Genomic DNA, 20912 nt, shown 5'->3' with positions numbered 1-20912 from the left:
GTACTGGTCGTGTGTGTGTTAGTGGAGATGAAGCCTGTGCTCTACAGACAGGGAGTCACACAGACACTTTTCTATAATTTCTTACATACTTTGAATGTTCAAGTATAAAGTCTAATGTTAAATTTGATTGAACAATTGTATATTTGTGGGATATTTTGGAATGGAACACCAAAAAATGGTAATAGTGGTTCTTTCTGGATTGAAGGAAAACTTTTCTTTTTTAAAATAAATTTTATTTTATATATTTGAGGTTGACAACATGATCTTAAAGGATACATATAGATAGTAAACTGGTTACTATAGTGAAGCAAATTAACATAGCTACCATCTCACATAGTTAGATTTTTGTTTGTGTGACAGGAACAGCTAAAATCTACTTATTTAACAAAAATCCCAAAGACAATATATTTTTATTAACTATAGCCCTCATGATGTACACTAGATCTCTAACTTGTTCATCCTACATGTCTGCTACTTTGTATTATTTTAATGTACATCTCCCCATTTCCTATTGGTCATTTCCTATTTGGCCCATTTTTCAACTGGGTTGTTTTTCTGCTCTTAAGTTGTAAGAGTTCTTTACTGATTTTTGGATATTAACACTTTATCAGATATGTGGTTTGCAAATATTTCTTCCAGTCTGTAGGTTCCCCTTTCATTTTGTTGGTTGTTCCTTTGCTGTGCAGAAGCTTTTTAGTTTGATGCAGTCCTCCTTGTTTATGTTTACATTTGTAGCCTGGCTTGTGGTGCGATATCCAAAAAATTATTGCTAAGGCCAATGTCAAGAGGCTTTCCCCCTATGTTTTCTTCTAGGAGTTTTATGGTTTCAGGTCTTATTTGGGTCTTTGGTCTTGTATCTGTTTTGAGTTGATTTTTGTGTATGGTGTATGATCAGGGTCCAATTTTATTCTTTTGCATGTGAAAATCCTATTATTGAAGAGACTATCTTTTTTACCATTGTGTTGTCTTGTTTGCCCTTGTCAAAAATTAGTTGACAGTATATGTTTGGATTTATTTCAAAGGTCTCTGTTACGTTCCATTGGTCTATTTTTTTGTTTTTATGCCAGCACCATACTGTTTTGATTACTATAGCTTTGTAATGCAATTTTAAATCAAGAGGTGTGATGCCTCCAACTTTTTCTTTCACAGTGATCTGTTGGCTGTTTGGGGTTTTTTGTGGTTCCATATGAGTTTCAGGATTGTTTTTTCTTTTCTTTTCTTTTTTTTTTTTTTTTGAGGGGAAGTCTCACTCTGTCACCCAAGCTGGAGTGCAGTGGCATAATCTCGGCTCACTAAAACCTCTGCCTCCTGGATTCAAGCAATTCTTCTGCCTCAGCCTCCCAGGTAGCTGGGACTACAGGCACATGCCACTATGCCCGGCCAATTTTTGTAGTTTTAGTAGAGACAGGGTTTCACTATGTTGGCCGGGCTGGTCTCCAACTCCTGACCTCATGATCCACCCGCTGCAGTCTCCCAAAGTGCTGGAATTACAGGCGTGAGCCACTGTGCCTGGCCAGGATTGTTTTATTCTGTTCTGTGAAGAATGTCATCAGAACTTTGAGGAGGATTGTGTTAAATCTGTATATTTGCTTTGGGTAGTGTGAACATTTTAACAATATTAATTCTTCTGATCCATAAACATAGGATGTCTTTTCATTTGTTCATGTCTAAATTTCTTTCATCAATGTTTTATGGTTTTTAAGTGTACACATCTCTCACCTTCTTGGTTAAATTTATTCCTAAGTTTTTGTTTTTCTTTGATGCTATCGTAAATGAGATTATTTTCTTGATTGCTTCATCAGCTAGGTTATTTGTATACAGAAATGCAACTGATTTTTATATGTTGAGTTTATACCTTGCAGCTTAACTGAATTGATTTAGTAGTTCTCACAGTTTTTTGTGGACTCTTTGGAGTTTTTTACGTAAAGGATCTTGTCATCTGCAAATAGAGATAATTTTACTTCTTTAATTTAGTTGCCTTTTTTTTCTCATCTGATTGCTCTTGCAAGTACTCTGTTGAATAAAAGTGATGAGGCTGGCCATCCCTATCTTGTACTCAATCTTAGTGGAAAAGCTTTAGTTGTTCCCCACTAACTATGATTAGACTGTGGGTTTTTCATAAATGGTGTTTATTATGTTGAGGAACTTTCCTTCTATACATAAACTATTAAGAGGTTTTATCAAGAAATGTTGCTAAACTTTGTTAAATGCTTTTACTGCATCAATTGAGGTGACCATGTCATTTTATCTTTCATTTTGTTAATGTGATGTATCACATTGATTGATTTACATATTTTAAACCAGCCTTGCATGCCAGGGATAAATCCCACTTAAACACGATGTATAATGTTTTTGATGTGTTGTTGAATTCTATTTGCTAAAATTTTTTTAGGATGTTTGCATCAGTATTTAATTTATTGGAGAAGTTGACCTGTAGTTTTTGTTCGGTGTGTGTGTGTGTGTGTGTGTGTGTGTGTGTGTGTGTGTGTGTGTTTTGGTTTGGCTTAGGTATTAAGGTGATACTGGCCTGGTAAAATGTGTTTGGAATTATTTCCTCTCACTCTGTTTTTGCGAAGAGTTTAAGAAGTAAACTCCCAGGGGATGGGAGTGACTCTGGACATGGGAGTGACATGATAGTGACTCTGGACCCTGCAGTGGTGGGACACAGCAGCATCTCAGTCTCTGAAAGGCCAGGCACAGCATCAGCAAGGACCCCAGAATGGTGGAGCACTACTGTGGCTTGAGCCCTCGGGGGCAGGGACCAGTACAGCAACTACTTCTCTCCCTGGGGAGGCAGGTGCCTGGGCAACTCAGATTCTCCAGGGCTAGTCCAGTTCCAAGGAAGCAGGGTTCTACAGTTGTTTGTCCTGAAGGGCAAGGTACCCCAGTTCAGCCAATGCCGTTTTCCTGGGATATGGGGGTGCCATGTTGGCTCATCCCTGGCAGGTGTGGCTGCTCAGCTCAGCCAAGACACTGATTCCCTGTGAAGCAGGGCAGTGCTTCAGCTCTCATGCAGTGGGGGGTGTGACTGCTTAGACTGGCCAAGACACTGATTCCCTGGAAAGCAGGGCACCAAGTCAGCTCAGGCTCCAAGGGGCAGGGAGCAATGGCAGCTGGGAGGGGAGGGGCACAGCAGCGTGGCCCCGCAGGTGGGGTGTATGCTGTGATGTGGACATCATTTGTTCCCACCAGCCATTTGAAATTTCATCCATTTGAAATTTGATTTCAAATGTGGTGGTGTGGGAGGTGGGGCCTAGTGGGAGTTATTTGAGTCACAGGGCAGATCCTTTATGAATAGATTAATGCCTTTTCATGGGACTGGATTAGTTACCAGGAGTGGATTGTTATCAGAGTGAGTTCAGCTTCCTAGACTCTTGTGTTTCCTCTCTTGCCATGTGAGCCCCTTGCATACACCTGTTTCGCCTTCCACTTTCCCCATGAGATGAAGCAGCACAAGACCCTCACCAGTTGTGCTGCCCGATCTCGGACTTTTTAGACACAAGCAGGGTGAGCCAAATAAACCTTTTTTATAAAATAAGTTACCCCGAGTCTCAAGTATTCTGTTACAGCCACACTAAATGGCCTAAGACAGTGTAACAGCGGCTCGGGGGTGGTGGGCCACTAGGTGGGTGTGATATAGAGCAACAAAGCCTGAGGATGGAAGAAGGGTGCGGTGGCTGCTCACCCTGGGTGGGACATGCTCCCGAAGTGGTCCAGGTCCAGGAGGGCACGTTGCAGCAGCAGCTGGTCCATGGGGGTGGGGCACAATGTCAGTTCCTTCTCTGAGGGGAGTGCTGGGGCTACTGGGCCCCTCTTGCTTCCTTATTCCTGCAGGGAGACATCCCCTCTGCTTCAGGCTGATCCCTCTGGGGGAATGGGTGGTGGGTGCCAGATGTTTCCTTCCCTCCTTTATGTGACCGTCCTGTTTTCCGGGCTCTACTGGATTTCTGCTACTCCTTGATGCACTCTGGGGCTCTCCTTTAGTGACTTTCATCAAAATATAGCTGTTTGCTGCTTTGGCTGTCTTTGTCAGGGGATGAGTGCAAGGGGCTATTGATCAGCCCTTAGCTGGCATCACTCCCTCTTAAACTTTTCACTGGATACTCTTTTGAACTGTTTTTTTCCCCCACCATATACATGTATTTTTTAAACGTTAATGTGCTAATTTCTACTGAAGCAATGTGGATTTTTCTGAAAGCTTTAATGTTTTAATAAGCTTTTTATTGAAATGTTAATGTACATACAGAAGAGTGCCCGAATCATAAGTGTGCATCTAGATGAACTGTAGCACACCAGGCTGCCACGCCCTGGACCAAGCAGTAGCCTTGACCTGTGGCCTCTCCCAGGCACTGCTGCCCCAACCCACAAAATAGCTACTTTCCCAGTTCCTGATGTAGATTTGTTCTGCCTGGTTTTGACTTCTATAAAATACAGCACATTCTATTTAGCCTGGCTTCTTTGGTTCAGTATTACAGAACACATCCATGTTCTTGTCTATGGCAGACATTGATTTATCGTCATTGTTGAGTTCCATTATATGACTGTGTCACCATTTTTCCATTGATGAGTAAAATGATTTCCTATTTTTGGCTGTTATCCCACGGCCCTGAACAGTAGGTCTGCATATGGGACTTGCAGGTATGCAGGGGCACACCCACTTCTGCTGGAGGATCCCTGGGTGGGGTGGAGACTCCAGGGCACCTGTGCTCTGCTTCAGTGTGGAGGCTTCTGTGTTGTGTTCTGGGAGCACAGTGGCTTGGCCTCCGCCACCAGCAGCAGCTTGAAGAGTTCCTGCTGTTCCACATGGTTGCCAACAATTGGCCTCTTCAGTTTTTTTTTTTTTTTTTAGGTTTTCAGTGCCTGCCTGGACTTGTGTTTTCATTTAGATTTTGGTTTCTTAGAACTTTCGTTATTCTCTTCACAGCTTAACAATGCATTTGAAAAGATTTGTTTTCATGTGGAGTATTCAGTTTTGTAATAGGAGGGTTGTTCAAGGCATCAGTCTGCCACTCTGCTAGAAACAGAATTCTCCCAGGCATTTCTTTTTATATAAAGTAGTTAATGAAATTTTGAACCATCTTACATGAATTTTTATTAAAATACACTTCAGGATGTGGTGCCCATTATCCATTCTACTCTTTTGTAACAAGTAGATTTCTCTGAATTCTTGAATTTGAAAACAATTGGGGTTCCTAAACAGAGAATATGGAATATTATTGGGGATGATGTCTTTAATAATACATCTCAAGATAGGAGAAACTTTTTCTATATAGTTGACTTTAATAAAAGCCTAGGGCAAAACTTTCAATATATTAACAGTATTTATGAGGCAGTTAAGAATTTGGGTCATCTCTGTCTCCACTAAAAATACAAAAAGTTAGCCAGGTGTGGTGGCGGGTGCCTGTAGTCCCTGCTACTTGGGAGGCTGAGGCAGGAGAATGGTGTGAACCCGGGAGGTGGAGGTTGCAGTGAGCCGAGATCATGCCACTGCACTTTAGCCTGGGCAACAGAGCGAGACTGCGTATCAAAAAAAAAAAAAAAAAAGAATTTGGGTCATCTCAATTAAACATAGAATTTAAGATTACATTGAAAATTCAGTACAGAGTATTTTGCCTTCATCTGTTGTTTGAGTCTCCCTTCTTTCAGCCATCCTTCCATCAGAAATAGAATACCAAGTTAAACTTCTTAATTAGAATCAGGAATCAGGACTCTTTGGCTGCTGATTGAAGGAAGAACTGTCCTTAAATCCAGAGTGGGCCGGGCATGGTGGCTCATGCCTGTAATCCTAGCACTTTGGGAGGCCAAGGCAGATGGATCACCTGAGGTCAGGAGTTCAAGAGCAGCATGACCAACATGGTGAAACCCCATCTCTACTGAAAATACAAAAATTAGCCGGGCGTGGTGGTGTGTGCCTATAGTCCCAGATACTTCGGAGGCTGAGATAAGAGAATTGCTTGAACCTGGGAGGTGGAGGTTATGTGAGCCAAGATCACGCCACTGCACTCTAGCCTGGGTGACAGGGCGAGACTCCATCTCAAAAAAAAAAAAAAAAAATCCAGAGTGGTTGGTAGTCAAGACAAAAAGCTAGATTATTTTTGTTAGTCTGGGAACTAAAAAAAATAGTTGTAACTTTGAAGCCTTTTTATGGATCAACATGAAGATTGAGGGATCTCAAACAGAAAGGGCATCCTGGTGGCAAAGGTTAATCATTACCAGACTGCAAGAGTAGTTTCAATGGCAAGAAAGCAGCAACAGAATCAATGAAAACAAAGCAATGATTAGAATGCCCTTTCCCCTTCTCCTCCTGACTTGTAGACACTGATTGTCTTCCTTGGACTTAGGGAACCCCTTAGGTTCTTGAAAAATTCAATGATCAGGCTATAGTAGATGGTCCCCAGTACACAGCACAAGATTTTTTGATAAACTGGACATTTTGAAACCCAAATAACTAATTAGAAAAATCAAACATGTGAAACTACTTTATCCCATGCATAGGGGTTATACTGGAAATAAAATGTACAACATTGGAATCCTGAAGGAGAAAAGTCCTAAAAGTTTCAATATCAAGAATCCTGCACCTGCTGCTACTTATCTAGCCTTTTGCTTGATTTCTGGCTGATGAACTTGCACAACTCTTGAAAACTTAAAAACTTGAAAATTTGTCACTTGAAAACTACTTGAACCAAACTATGAAATCTCACCTGATATATAAGATGCAATTGTTACAATTATTTTAAACTTCAATTTACTGTTTTGCTCTATCAAAAGAAAGTTTCAACTCTGTTAGTTGAGTACACACATCGTAAACAAGTTTCTGAGAATGCTTCTGTCTAGTTTTTATGGGAAGATATTTCCTTTTTCACCTTAGGCCTCAAAGCGCTCCAAATGTCCACTTACAGATTCTACAAAAGGAGTGTTTCAAAACTGCTCAATCGAAATTAAGGTTCCACTCTGCGAGATGAATGCACACATCACAAAAACTTTGTCAGATTGCTTCTGTCTAGTTTTGTGTGAAGATATTTCCTTTTCCACCACAGGCCTCAAAGCTCTCCAAATGTCCACTTGCAGATTCTACAAAAGGAGTGTTTCAAAACTGCTCTATCGAAAGTTAAGTTCAACTCCATGAGATAAATGGCAACTCCATGAGATAAATGACAAATAAGCTTGTCAGAATGCTTCTGCCTAGTTTTAATGTGAAGATATTTCCTTCTCCACCATAGGCCGCAAAGTGCTCCAAATGTCCACTTGCAGATTCTACAAAATGAGAGTTCTCAAAACTGCTAAATTAAAATAAAGTTTCAGCTCTGTGAGAGGAATGCACACATCACAAAGCAGTTTCACAGAATGCTTCCATCTAGTTCTTAAATGAAGATACTTCCTTTTCCACCATAGGCCAAAAAGCGCTCCAAATGTCCACTTGCAGATATTACAAAAAGAGCTTTTCAAAACTGCTCAATGTCTGTTCATGTCCTTCACCCACTTTTTGATGGGGTTGTTTGTTCTTTTCTTGTAAATTTGTTTGAGTTCATTGTAGATTCTGGATATTAGCCCTTTGTCAGATGAGTAGCTTGTGAAAGTTTTCTCCCATTTTGTTGGTTGCCTGTTCACTCTGATGATAGTTTCTTTTGCTGTGCAGAAGCCCTTTAGTTTAATTAGATCCTATTTGTCAATGTTGGCTTTTGTTGCCATTGCTTTTGGTGTTTTAGACATGAAGTCCTTGCCCATGCCTATGTTCTGAATGGTAATGACTCGGTTTTCTTCTAGGGTTTTTATGCTTTTAAGTCAAAAGTTTAAGTCTTTAATCCATCTTGAATTGATTTTTGTGTAAGGTGTAAGGAAGGGATCCAGTTTCAGCTTTGTACATATGGCTAGCCAGTTTTCCCAGAACCATTTATTAAATAGGGAATCCTTTCCCCATTTCTTGTTTTTCTCAGGTTTGTCAAAGATCAGATAGTTGTAGATATGTGGCGTTATTTCTGAGGGCTCTGTTCTGTTCCATTGATCTATATATCTGTTTTGGTACCAGTACCATGCTGTTTTGGTTACTATAACCTTCTAGTATAGTTTGAAGTCAGGTAGTGTGATGCCTCCAGCGTTGTTCTTTTGGCTTAGGATTGACTTGGCGATGCGGGCTCTTTTTTGGTTCCATATGAACTTTAAAGTATTTTTTTCCAATTGTGTGAAGAAAGTCATTGGTAGCTTGATGGGTATGGCATTGAATGTGTAAATTACCTTGGGCAGTATGGCCATTTTCACGATATTGATTCTTCCTACCCAAGAGCATGGAATGTTCTTCCATTTGTTTGTATCCTCTTTTATTTCCTTGAGCAGTGGTTTGTAGCACCTCCTTGAAGAGGTCCTTCACATCCCTTGTAAGTTGGATTCCTAGGTATTTTATTCTCTTTGAAGCAATTGTGAATGGGAGTTCACTCATGATTTGGCTCTCTGTTTGTCTGTTGTTGGTGTATAAGAATGCTTGTGATGTTTGTACATTGATTTTTAAGGACATGAACAGACATTTCTCAAAAGAAGACATTTATGCAGCCAAAAACCACATGAAAAAATGCTCACCATCACTGGCCATCAGATAAATGCAAATCAAAACCACAATGAGATACCATCTCACACCAGTTAGAATGGCAATCATTAAAAAGTCAGGAAACAACACGTGCTGGAGAGGATGTGGAGAAATAGGAACACTTTTACACTGTTTGTGGGACTGTAAACTAGTTCAACCACTGTGGAAGTCAGTGTGGCAATTCCTCAGGGATCTAGAACTAGAAATACCATTTGACCCAGCCATCCCATTACTGGGTATATACCCAAAGGACTATAAATCATGCCGCTATAAAGACACATGCACACGTATGTTTATTGCGGCATTATTCACAATAGCAAAGACTTGGAACCAACCCAAATGTCCAACAATGATAGACTGGATTCAGAAAATGTGGCACATTTACACCATGGAATACTATGCAGCCATAAAAAATGATGAGTTCATGTCCTTTGTAGGGACATGGATGAAATTGGAAATCATCATTCTCAGCAAACTATCGCAAGAACAAAAAACCAAACACCGCATATTCTCACTCATAGGTGGGAATTGAACAATGAGAACACATGGACACAGGAAGGGGAACATCACACTCTGGGGACTGTTGTGGGGTGGGGGGAGGGGGGAGGGATAGCATTGGGAGATATTCCTAATGCTAGATGACGAGTTAGTGGGTGCAGTGCACCAGCATGGCACATGTATACATATGTAACTAACCTGCACATTGTGCTCATGTACCCTAAAACTTAAAGTATAATAATAATAAATAAATAAATAAAAACTGCTCAATGAAATAAAGGTTCAACTCTGTGACATGAATGCACACATCAGGAAGAAGTTTCTCAGAATATTTCTGAATCATTTTTATGTGAAGATATTTCCTTTTCCACCATTGGCCTCAAAGCGCTCCAAATCTGCACATGCAGATTCTAAAAAAAGAGTGTTTCAAAGCTGCTCAATCAAAAGAAAGGTTCAACACTCTGAGATGAATGCACACGTCACAAAGAAGTTTCTCAGAATGCTTCTGTCTAGTTTTTATGTGAAGATATTTCCTTTTCCACCATTGGCCTCAAAGCACTCCAAATGTCCTCTTGCATATTCTACAAAAAGAGTGTTTCAAAGCTGCTGAATCAAAAGAAATGTTCAACTCTGTGAGATGAATGCACCCATCACAAAGAAGTTTCTCAGAATGCTTCTGTCTAGTTTTTATTTGAAGATATTTCCTTTTACACCATAGGCCTCAAAACGCTCCAAATGTAAACATCCAGATCGTACAAAAAAAGTTTTTCCAAACTGCTCCATCAAAATAACGGTTTAACTCTGTGAGATGAATGCACACATCACAAAGAATTTTCTCTGAATGATTCTGTCTAGTTTTTACGTGAATATATTTCCTTTTCCACCATAGGACTCTAAGCGCTCCAAATGTCCAATTCTAGATGCTACAAAAAGAGTGTTTCAAAGCTGCTGAATCAAAAGAAAGGTTCAAATCTGTGAGATGAATGCATGCACACATCACAAAGAGTTTCTCAAAACACTTCTCTCTAGTTTTTATATGAAGATATTTCCTTTTCCTCCATAGGACTCTAAATACTCCAAATGTCCAATTCTAGACACTACAAAAAGAGTGTTTAAAAATTGCTCAATCGAAAGTAAGTTTCAACCCTGTGAGATGAATGCACACATCACAAAGAGGTTTTTCAGAATGTTTCTGTCTAGTTTTTATGTGAAGATATTTCCTTTTCCACCATAGGCCTCAAAGCGCTCCAAATGTCCGCTTGCAGATTCTACGAAAAGAGTGTTTCAAAACTGCTCAATCAAAAGAAAGGTTCAACTCTGTGAGATGAATGCACACATCACAAAGAAGTTTCTGAGAATGCTTCTGTCTAGTTCTTAAGTGAAGATATTTCCTTTTCCACCATTGGTCCCAAAGCACTCCAAATGTCCACTTCCGGATTCCACAAAAAGAGAGTTTCCAAACTACTCAATCAAAAAAAGGTTCACCTCAGTGAGATGAATGCACACATCACAAAGAAATTTGCCAGAATGCTTCTGTCTAGTCTTTATATGAAGATATTTCCTTTTCCACCATAGGCCCCAAAGGGCTGCAAATGTCCACTTGCAGATCCTGCAGAAAGAGTGTTTCAAAACTGCTCAATCAAAAGAAAGGTTCAACTCCGTGAGATGAATGCACATTTCACAAAGAAGTTTCTCAGAATTCTTCTGTCAGGTTCTTAAGTGTAGATATTTCCTTTTCCAACACAGGACTCAAAGCTCTCCAAATGTCCCCTTGCAGATTCTACAAAAAGAGTTTCCAAACCACTCTATCAAAAGAAAATTTCAACGCTGTGAGATAAATGCACATATCACAAAGAAGATTCTCAGAATGCTTGGGTCTAGTTATTATGTGAAGATATTACCTTTTCAACAATAGGCCTCAAAATGCTCCAAATTTCCACATGCAGATTCTACAAAAAGAGTGTTTCAAAGCTGTTCAATCAAAAGAAAGCTTCAACTCTGTGAGATGAATGCTCACATCACAAAGAAATTTCTCAGAATGCTTCTGTCCAGTTTTTATGTGAAGATATTTCCTTTTCCAGCATAGGCGTCAAAACGCTCCAAATGTCCACTTACAGATCCCACAAAAATAGTGTTTCAAAACTGCTCAATCAAAAGAAAGGTTCACCTCTGTGAGATGAATGCACACATCACAAATAATATTCTCAGAATAATTCTGTCTAGTGTTTATGTGCAGATATTTCCTTTTCCACCATAGTCCTCAAAGCACTCCAAATGTCCAATTGCAAATCCTACAAAAAGAGTGTTTCAAAACTGCTCAATCGAAGGTAGGGTTCAACTCTGTGAGGTGAATTCTCACATCAAAAAAAGTCTGTCAGAATGCTTCTGTCTAGTTTTCATATGAAGATGTTTCCTTTTCCACCGTAGGCCTCAAAGCACTCCAAATGTCCACATGCGGGTTCTATAAAAAGAGTGTTTCCAAACTGCTCAAGCAAAAGAAATGTTCAACTCTGTGATATGAAAGCACACATCACAAAGAAGTTTGTCAGAATGCTTCTGTCTAGTTTTCATGTATAGATGTTTCCTTTTCCACCATAGGCTGCAAAGCGCTCCAAATGTCTACTTGCAGATTCTACAAAAAGATTGTTTCAAAACTGCTCAATGAAAAGAAAGTTTCAACTCTGTGAGATGAACGCACACATCACAAAGAAGTTTCTCTGAATGCTTCTGTCTAGTTCTTAAATGAAGATATTTCCTATTCCACCACAGGACTCAAAGGGCTCCTAATGTGCACTTGCAGATTCTACAAAAAGAGTGTTTAAACCTGCTCAATCAAAAGAAATGTTCAACCCGGTGAGATGAATGCACACAACACAAAGGATTTTCTATGAATGATTCTGTCTAGTTTTTATGTGAACATATTTCCTTTTAAGCCATAGGCTTCAAAGCGCTTCAAATGTACAATTGCAGATTCCACAAAAAGAGTTTTTCAAAACTGCTCAATGGAAAGAAAGGTTCAAATCTGTGAGAAGAATGCACACATAACAAAGAAGTTTATCAGAATGTTTCTGTATAGTTTTTATGTGAAGGTATTTCGTTTTCCACCATAGGCCTCAAAGAGCTCCAAATGTCCACATGCAGATTCTACAAAAAGAGTGTTTCAAAGCCGCTCAATCAAAAGAAAGGTTCAACTCTGTGAGATGAATGCACAAATCACAAAGAAGTTTGTCAGAATGCTTCTGTCTAGTTTTTATGTGAAGATATTTCCTTTTCTACCATAGGCTGCAAAGCGCACCAAATGTCCAAATTCACATTCTACAAAAAGAGTCTTTCAAAACTGTTCAATCAAAAGAAAGGTTCAACTCTGTGAGATGAATCCACACATCTCAGTGAAGTTTTTCAGAATGTTTCTGTATAGTTTTTATGTGAAGCTATTTCCTTTTCCACCATTGCCTCAAAGCGCCAAAAATGTCCACTTGCAGATACTACAAAAAGAGTGTTTCAAAGTTGCTCAATCAAAAGAAAGTTGAAATTCTGTGAGATGATTGCATATATTACATATAAGTTTCTCAGAATGCTTCTGTCTAGTTTTGTGTGAAGATATTTCCTTTTCCACCACAGGCCTCAAAGCTCTCCAAATGTCCACTTGCAGATTCTACAAAAAGAGTGTTTCAAAACTGCTCAATCGAAAGTAAGGTTCAACTCTTTGAGATGAATGCACCCATCACAAATAAGCTTGTCAGAATGCTTTTGTCTAGTTTGTATGTGAAGATATTTCCTTTTCCACCGTCGGCTGCAAAGCACTCCAAATGTCCACTTGCAATTTCTAGAAAAAGAGTTTTTCAAAACCGCTCAATTAAAATAAAGTTTCAGCTCTGTGAGAGGAATGCACACATCACAAAGCAGTTTCACAGAATGCTTCCGTCTACTTCTTAAATGAAGATATTTCCTTTTCCACCATAGGCCCAAATGCGCTCCAAATGTCCACTTGCAGATTCTACAAAAAGAGAGTTTCTAAGCTACTCAATCAAAAGAAAGGTTCAACTCTGTGAGATGAATGCACACATCACAAAGAAGTTACTCAGAATGCTTCTGTCTACTTCTTAAGTGAAGATATTACCTTTTCCACCTTAGGCCCCAAAGCACTCCTAATGTGCTCTTGCAGATCCTACAAAAAGAGAATTTCCAAACTACTCAACCAAAAGAAAGGTTCAACTCTGTTAGATGAATGCACACATCACAAAGTAATTGGTCAGAATGCTTCTGTCTAGTTTTTATGTGAACATATTTCCTTTTCAACCATAGGCCTCAAATCGCTTCAAATGTACAATTGCACATTCCACAAAAAGAGTTTTTCAAAACTGCTCAATGAACAGAAAGGTTCAACTCTATGAGATGAATGCACACATCACTAAGAAGTTTGTAAGAATGTTTCTGTATAGTTTTTATATGAAGATATTTCCTTTTCCACTATAGGCCTCAAAGCGCTCCAAATGTCCACATGCAGATTCTACAAAAAGAGTGTTTCAAAGCTGCTCAATCAGAAGAAATGCTCAAGGCTATGAGATGAATGCATACATCACAAAGAAGTTTCTCAGAATTCTTCTGTCTAGTTTTTATGTGAAGATATTTCCTTTTCCACTATAGGCCACAAAGTTCTCCATATGTCCACTTGCAGATTCTACAAAAAGAGTGTTTCCAAACTGCTCAATCAAAAGAAAGGTTCTACTCTGTGAGATGAACTCACACACCACAAAGAAATTTCTGAGAATTCTTCCGTCTAGTTTTTATGTGAAGATGTTTCCTTTTCCACCATAGGCCTCAAAGAGCTCAAAATGTCCAGTTGCTGATTCTACAAAAAGAGAGTTTCAAAAGTGCTCCATCACAGGAAATGTTTAACTCTGTGAGATGTATGCACACATCAAAAAGAAGTTTCTCAGATTGCTTCTGTCTAGTTTTTATGTGAAGATATCTCCATTTCCACCATAGGCCTCAAAGCACTCCAAATGTCCACTTGCAGATAGTACAAAAAGGGAGTTTCAAAACGGCTCAATTAAAAGTAAGGTTCAACACTGTGAGGTGAATACACATATCACAAAGAAGTTTATCAGAATGCTTCTGTCTAGTTTTTATGTGAAGATATTTCCTTCTCTGCCATTGGCCTCAATGCGCTCCAAATGTCCACTTGCAGATTCTACAAAAAGAGAGTTTCCAAACTAGAAAATCAAAAGAAAGTTTCAACTCTGTGAGATGAATGCACTCATCACAAAGAAGTTTCTCACAATACTTCTGCATAGTTGTTACATGAAGATATTTTGTTTTCCATTACACTCCTCAAAGCGCTCCAAATGTCCACTTGCAGATTCTACAAAAAAAGCATTTCAAAGCTGCTCAATCAAAAGAAAGGTTCAACTCTGTGAAAAGAATGCACACATCACAAAGAAGTTTCTCAGAATGTTTCTGTCTACTTCTTATGTGAAGATATTTCCTTTTCCACCATAGGCCTCAAAGTGATCCAAATGTCCACTTGCAGATCCTTCAAAAAGATTTCCAAACTAGTCAATCAAAAGAAAGTTTCAACTCTGTGAGATGAATGCACATATAACAAAGACATTTCTAAGAATCCTTCTGTCTAGTTTTTATGTAAAGATATATACTTTTACACCATAGGCATCAACGCACTCCAAATGTCCACTTGTACCTAGTACAAAAAGGATGTTTCAAACCTGCTCAATCAACAGTAAGGTTCAACTCTGTCAGATGAATGCACACATCACAAAGTATTTTCTCAGAATGATTCTTTGCAGTTCTTAAGTGAAGATATTTCCTTTTCCACCAGAGGCCTCAGAGCCCTCCAAATGTCCACTTGCAGATACTGCAAAAAGAGTGTTTCCAAACTGTTCAATCAAAAGAAAGGTTCAAATCTTTGAGATGAATATACACATCATGAAGAAGTTTCTCAGAATGTTTCTGTCCATGTTTTATGAGCAGATATTTCCTTTTCCACCATAGACCTCAAAGCACACCAAGTGTCCACTTGTAGATTCTACAAAAAGAGTGTTTCAAAACTGCTCATTGAAAAGAAATGTTCAACTATGTGAGATGAATGCACACACCACAAAGAAGTTTCTCAGAATGTTCTGTCTAGTTCTTAAGTGAAGATATTTCCTTTTACACCATAAGCCTCAAAGTGCTCCAAATGTCCACTGGCAGATTGTACAAAAACAGTGTTTCAAAACTGCTCAATGGAAAGAAAGGTTCAATTCTGTGAGATGAATGCAAACAACACAAAGAAGTTTGTCAGCATGCTTCTGTCTAGTTTTTATGTGAAGATATTTCCTTTACCACCATATGCCACAAAGTGCTCCAAATGTCCCTTTGCAGATTCTACAAAAAGAGTGTTTCAAACTGCTCAATCAAAAGAAAGTTCAACTCTGTGAGATGCATGCACACATCCCAAAAAAATTTCCCAGAATAATTCTGTGTAGTTTTTCTGTGAAGATATTTCCTTTTCCACCGTAGACCTCAAAGAATTCCAAATGTCCACTTGCAGATTCTACCAAAAGAGTGTTTCAAAATAGATTAATGAAAAGAAATGTTCAACTCTGTGACATGAAAGCACGCATTCCAAAGAAGTTTGTGATAATGCTTCTGTCTAGTTTTTATGTGAAGATATTTCCTTTTCTGCCATAGGCCTCAAAGTGCTCCTAATGTCCACTTGCAGATTCTACAAAAGAGTGTTTCAAAGCTGCTCAATCAAAAGAAAGTTTCAACTCCATGAGATGAATGCACACATCACAAAGAAGTTTCTGAGAATGCTGCTGTCTTGTTGTTATGTGAAGATATTTCCTTTTCCATAATTGGCTGCAAAGCGCTCCAAATGTCCACTTGCAGATTCTACAAAAAGAGTGTTTCAAAACTGCTCAATCAAAAGAAAGGTTCAACTTTGTGAGATGAATGCACACATCACAAAGAAGTTTCTCAGAATGTTCTGTCTAGTTCTTAAGTGAAGATATTTCCTTTTCCACCATAGGCCTCAAAGCACTCCAAATGTCCACTTGCAGATTGTACAAAAACAGTGTTTCAAAACTGCTCAATGGAAAGAAACGTTCAATTCTGTGAGATGAATGCAAACAACACAAAGAAGTTTGTCAGCATGCTTCTGTATAGTTTTTATGTGAAAATATTTCCTTTTCTACCATAGGCCTCAAGGCGCTCCAAAGGTCCACATGCAGATCCTACAAAAATAATGTTTCAAAGGTGCTCAATCAAAAGAAATGTTCAACTCTGTGAGATGACTGCACCCATCACGAAGAAGTTTCTCAGAATGCTTCTGTCTAGATCTTAAGTGAAGATATTTCCTTTTCCACCATAGGCCTCAAAGCGAACAAAATGTCCGCTTGCAGATTCTACAAAAAGAGTGTTTCCAAACTGCTCAACCAAAAGTAAGATTCAACTCTGTGGGTTGAATGAAAACATCACAAAGAAGTTTCTCAGGATGCTTCTGTCTAGTTCTTATGTGAGGATATTTCCTTTTCCACCGTAGGCCTAAAAGTGCTCCAAATATCAACTTGCAGATTCTACAAAAAGTGGGCTTCAAAACTTCTCAATCAAAAGTAAGGTTCAATTCCCTGAGATGAATGCACACATCACAAAGAAGTTTGTCAGAATTCTTCTGTCTAATATTTAAGTGAAGATACTTCCTTTTCCACCATATGCCGCAAAGCGCTCCAAATATCCACTTGCAGATTCTACAAAAAGAGTGTTTCAAAACTGCTCAATCAAAAGAAAGTTCAACTCTGTGAGATGAATGCCCACATCACAAAGAAATTTCTCAGAATATTTCTGTCTAGCTTCTCTATGAAGATATTTCCTTTTCCACCATAGGCCTCAAGTGTTCCAAATGTCCACTTGCAGATTCTACAAAAAGAGTGTTTCAAAGCTGCTCAATCAAAAGAAATGTTCAACTCTGTGAGATTAATGCATACATCACAAACAACTTTCTCAGAATGCTTCTGTCTAGTTATTGTGTGAAGATATTTCATTTTTCACCTTAGGCCTCAAATCACTCCAAATGTCCACTTGCAGATGTTACAGAAAGAGTGATTGAAAACTACACAATCGAAGGAAAGTTTCAACTCTCTGAGATGAATGCACACATCACAAAGAATTTGTCAGAATGCTTCTGTCTAATATTTATGGGAAGATATTTCCTTTTCCACCATAGGCCTCAAAGCGCTCAAAATGTCCACTTGCAGATGCTACAAAAGGAGAGCTTCCAAACTATTCACTCAAAAGAAATGATCAACTCTGTGAGATGAATGCATACATCACAAAGTAATTTGTCAGAATGCTTCTGTCTAATTTTTATGTGAACATATTTCCTTTTCCACTGTAGGTCTCAAGCCACACAAAATGTCCATTTGCAGATAGTACCAAAAGGGTTTTTCAGAACTGCTTAATCAAAAGTAAGGTTCAACTCTGTGAGATGAATGCACATATCGCAAATAGGTTTGTCAGAATGCTTCCACCTAGTTTTTTTGTGAAGATATATCCTTTTCCACCTCAGGCCTCAAAGAGCTCCGCATGTCCCCTTACAGATTCTACAAAAAGAGTGTTTCCAAACTGCTCAATCAAAAGAAATGTTCAACTCTGTGAGATGAATGCACACATCACAAAGAAGTTTCTCAGAATGCTTCTGTGTAGTTTTTAGGTGAAGATATTTCCCTTTCCACCATAGGCCCCAAAGCGCTCCAAATATCCACTTGCAGATACTACAAAAAGTGTTTTTCAAAACTGCTGAATCCAAAGAAATGTTCAACTTTGTGAGATGAATGCACACATCAGAAAGAAGTTACACAGACTGCTTCTGTGTTGTTTTTAGGTGAAGATATTTCAGTTTCCACCATAGGTCTTGAAGCCCTCCAAATATCCACTTGCTCATTCCACAAAAAGTGTGCTTCAAATCTGCTCAATCAAAAGAAAGTTTCAATTCTGTGAGATGAATGCACACATCACAAAGTAGTTTCTCAGAATGCTTCTGTCCAGTTTTTATGTGAAGATATTTCCTTCTCCACCATAGACCTTAAGGCGTTCCAAATATCCACTTGCAGATTTTACAAAAAGAGTGTTTCAAACTGCTCAATCAAAAGAAAGGTTCAACTCTGTGTGTTGAATGCACAAATCACAAAGAAGTTTCTCAGAATGCTTCTGTGTAGTTTTTATGTGAAGATATTTCCTTCTCCACCGTAGACCTTAAAGCACTCCAATTATCCACTTGCAGATCGTACAAAAAGAGTGTTTCAAATGGCTCAATCAAAAGAAAGGTTCAACTCTGTGAGCTGAATGCATAAATCACAAAGAAGTTTCTCAGAATGCTTCCATCCAGTTTTTATGTGAAGATGTTTCCTTTTACCACCATTGGCCACAAAGCGCTCCAAATATCCACTTGCAGATTCTACAAAAAGTGTTTCAAAACTGCTCAATCAAAAGAAAGGTTCATCTCTGAGACATGAATGCACACATCACAAAGGAGTTTCTCAGAAGGCTTCTGTCTAGTTTTTATGTGAAGATATTTCTGTTTCCACTATAGGCCGCAAAGCACTCCAAATATCCACTTGCAGATTCTACAAAAAGAGATTTTCCAAACTCCTCAATCAAAAGAAAGTTTAAACTCTGTGAGTTGAATGCACACATCACAAAGAAGTTTCTCAGAATGCTTCTGTCTAGTTTTTAATTGAAGATACTTCCTTTTCCACCATTGAGCTCAAAGCACTCCAAGTATCCACTTGCAGATTCTACAAAAAGAGTGTTTCAAAACTGCTCAATCAAAACAAAGTTTCAACTCTGTGAGATGAATGCACACATCACAGAGAAGTTTCTCAGAATGCTTCTGTCTAGTATTTATGTGAAGATATTTCCTCTTCTACAATAGGTCTCAAACCACTCCAAATATCCACTTGCAAATACTACAAAAAGATTGTTTCAAAACTGCTCAATCAAAAGAAATCTTCAACTATGTGAGTTGAATGCACACATCACAAAGAACTTTCTCAGAACGCTTCTGTGTAGTTTTTATTTGAAGATATTTCCTTTTCCACCACAGGCCCCAAACTGATCCAAATATCCACATGCAGATCCTTCAAAAGAAGTGTTTCAAAACTGTTCGATCAAAAGAAAGGTTCAATTCTGTGAGATGAATGCACACATCACAAAGAAGTTTCTCAGAAGGCATTTGTGTAGTTTTTATGTGAAGATGTTTCCTTTTCCTCCATAGGCCTCAAATCGCTCCCAATGTCCACTTGCAGATTCTACAAAAAGAGTGTTTCAAAGCTGCTCAATCAAAAGAAATGTTCAGCTCTGTGAGATGAATGCACACATCACAAAGAAGTTTCTCAGAATGCTTCTGTCTAGTTTTTAAGAGAAGATATTTCCCTTTCCTCTAGAGGTCCCAAAGTCCTCCAACTTTGCAGATACTACAAAAAGAGTGTTTCAAAACTGCTCAATCAAAAGAATATTTCAACTCTGTGAGTTGAATGCACACATCACAAAGAAGTTTCTCAGAATGTTTCTGTCTAGTTTTTATGTGAAGATATTTCCTTTTCCACCATAGGCCCCAAAGCACTCAAAATATCCACTTGCAGATTCTACAAAAACAGTGTTTCAGAACTGCTCAATCAAGAGAAACATTCAACTCTGTGAGATGAATGCATAGATCACAGAGGAGTTTCTCAAAATGCTTCTGTCTGGTTTTGATGTGAAGATATTTACTTTTCCACCATAGAATGTAAAGCGCTCCAAATATCCACTTGCAGACACTACAAAAAGAGTATTTCAAAAGTGCTAAATCAAAAGAAAAGTTCAACTCTGTGAGGTGAATGCACACATCACAAAGAAGTTTCTCAGAATGCTTCTTTCTTGTCTTTATGTGAAGATATTTCCTTTTCCATTCAGAACCTCGTAGCAGTGTTCTGTAATCCTGTGTGAGGGACAAACACTCAGAATCCAGCCACTGTGTACTGGAATCCTATCTGAGGGCACACATTTAAAATCCAGATGTAGTCTCCTTGCTTTAGTGAATACACTTATCTCCTTTTCCTGCTATACATTTAGGCAAATTATTTTTCTGTATCTTAAATAAATGGTAAATACCTGAAATTTCTTACTTTTTCCAGGCAGAGTGTCTTCACTATGTAGCTGTAGAAGTATAACTATTTTTGTCTGTGTCACAATTTTGTACTCAGGAACCCTGGCCATGTCACTAGCCAAATGGACATAACTTATGGAATACATGGACAGCATCCGGTTGATATGCTCTAGAGAAAAATAGCAGCTACCATAGACTTCAGGAAAGACACATCGAGCCAATGACAAAAATGTGGGTTTCCTACCTTCAGGGAGTCTAAGAATGCAGTAGAAAGTGATGTGGAGCAAACATCTTTCAAATGGAAGGAAGGGATAGGGAAAGGAAGACTGTTAGAGGCTCTTTTGAATGTTAGAGGCAACATAAAACATATTTGGATGTGTATTCTAAATAAAATGCAAATGTCAAGAAGGATGTCAGCTGTGAGTGGGACTCAGAGAAAGAGAAACGTTTTGGACTACAGAGGCCTGCAGTACAAGTGGATCTACAATTTTGTTTAGGGAATCCAATGCCTCAGGTATCTATGAGAGGCAGAATTTTCCTATGGAGCCAGCGGCAAGGCTCCAGAGGAGAAATACAGTACAAGCCACTTTATTTTGGAGTAAAAGCCTTTTGTACAAAAATTACCCGCCCCCTCCTTTTTTGAGAAACAATTTCACATTGGGATACTAATAAGAAGGAATGCTCAGTCAT

The 20912-nt window shown here is 38.7% G+C and overlaps 1 pseudogene across 1 annotated transcript in view; it reads right to left on the bottom strand.

Moving 5' to 3' along the window:
* The window catches only part of LOC105379443 (methylenetetrahydrofolate dehydrogenase (NADP+ dependent) 1 like pseudogene), a 42107-nt pseudogene continuing 26025 nt past the window's right edge, over positions 4831-20912 (bottom strand). Inside the window, exon 4 of the transcript NR_160670.1 lies at positions 4831-5192. The product of NR_160670.1 is annotated as a methylenetetrahydrofolate dehydrogenase (NADP+ dependent) 1 like pseudogene, transcript variant 1 (transcript). The remainder of the gene's footprint in view (positions 5193-20912) is intronic.

The sequence above is a fragment of the Homo sapiens genome, chromosome 9, assembly GCF_000001405.40.
Source record: "Homo sapiens chromosome 9, GRCh38.p14 Primary Assembly".
In the NCBI taxonomy this organism is placed as follows: Eukaryota; Metazoa; Chordata; class Mammalia; order Primates; family Hominidae; genus Homo; species Homo sapiens.
Note: the sequence above shows the minus strand (reverse complement) of the source record. Positions and strands in the feature narration are given on the sequence as shown.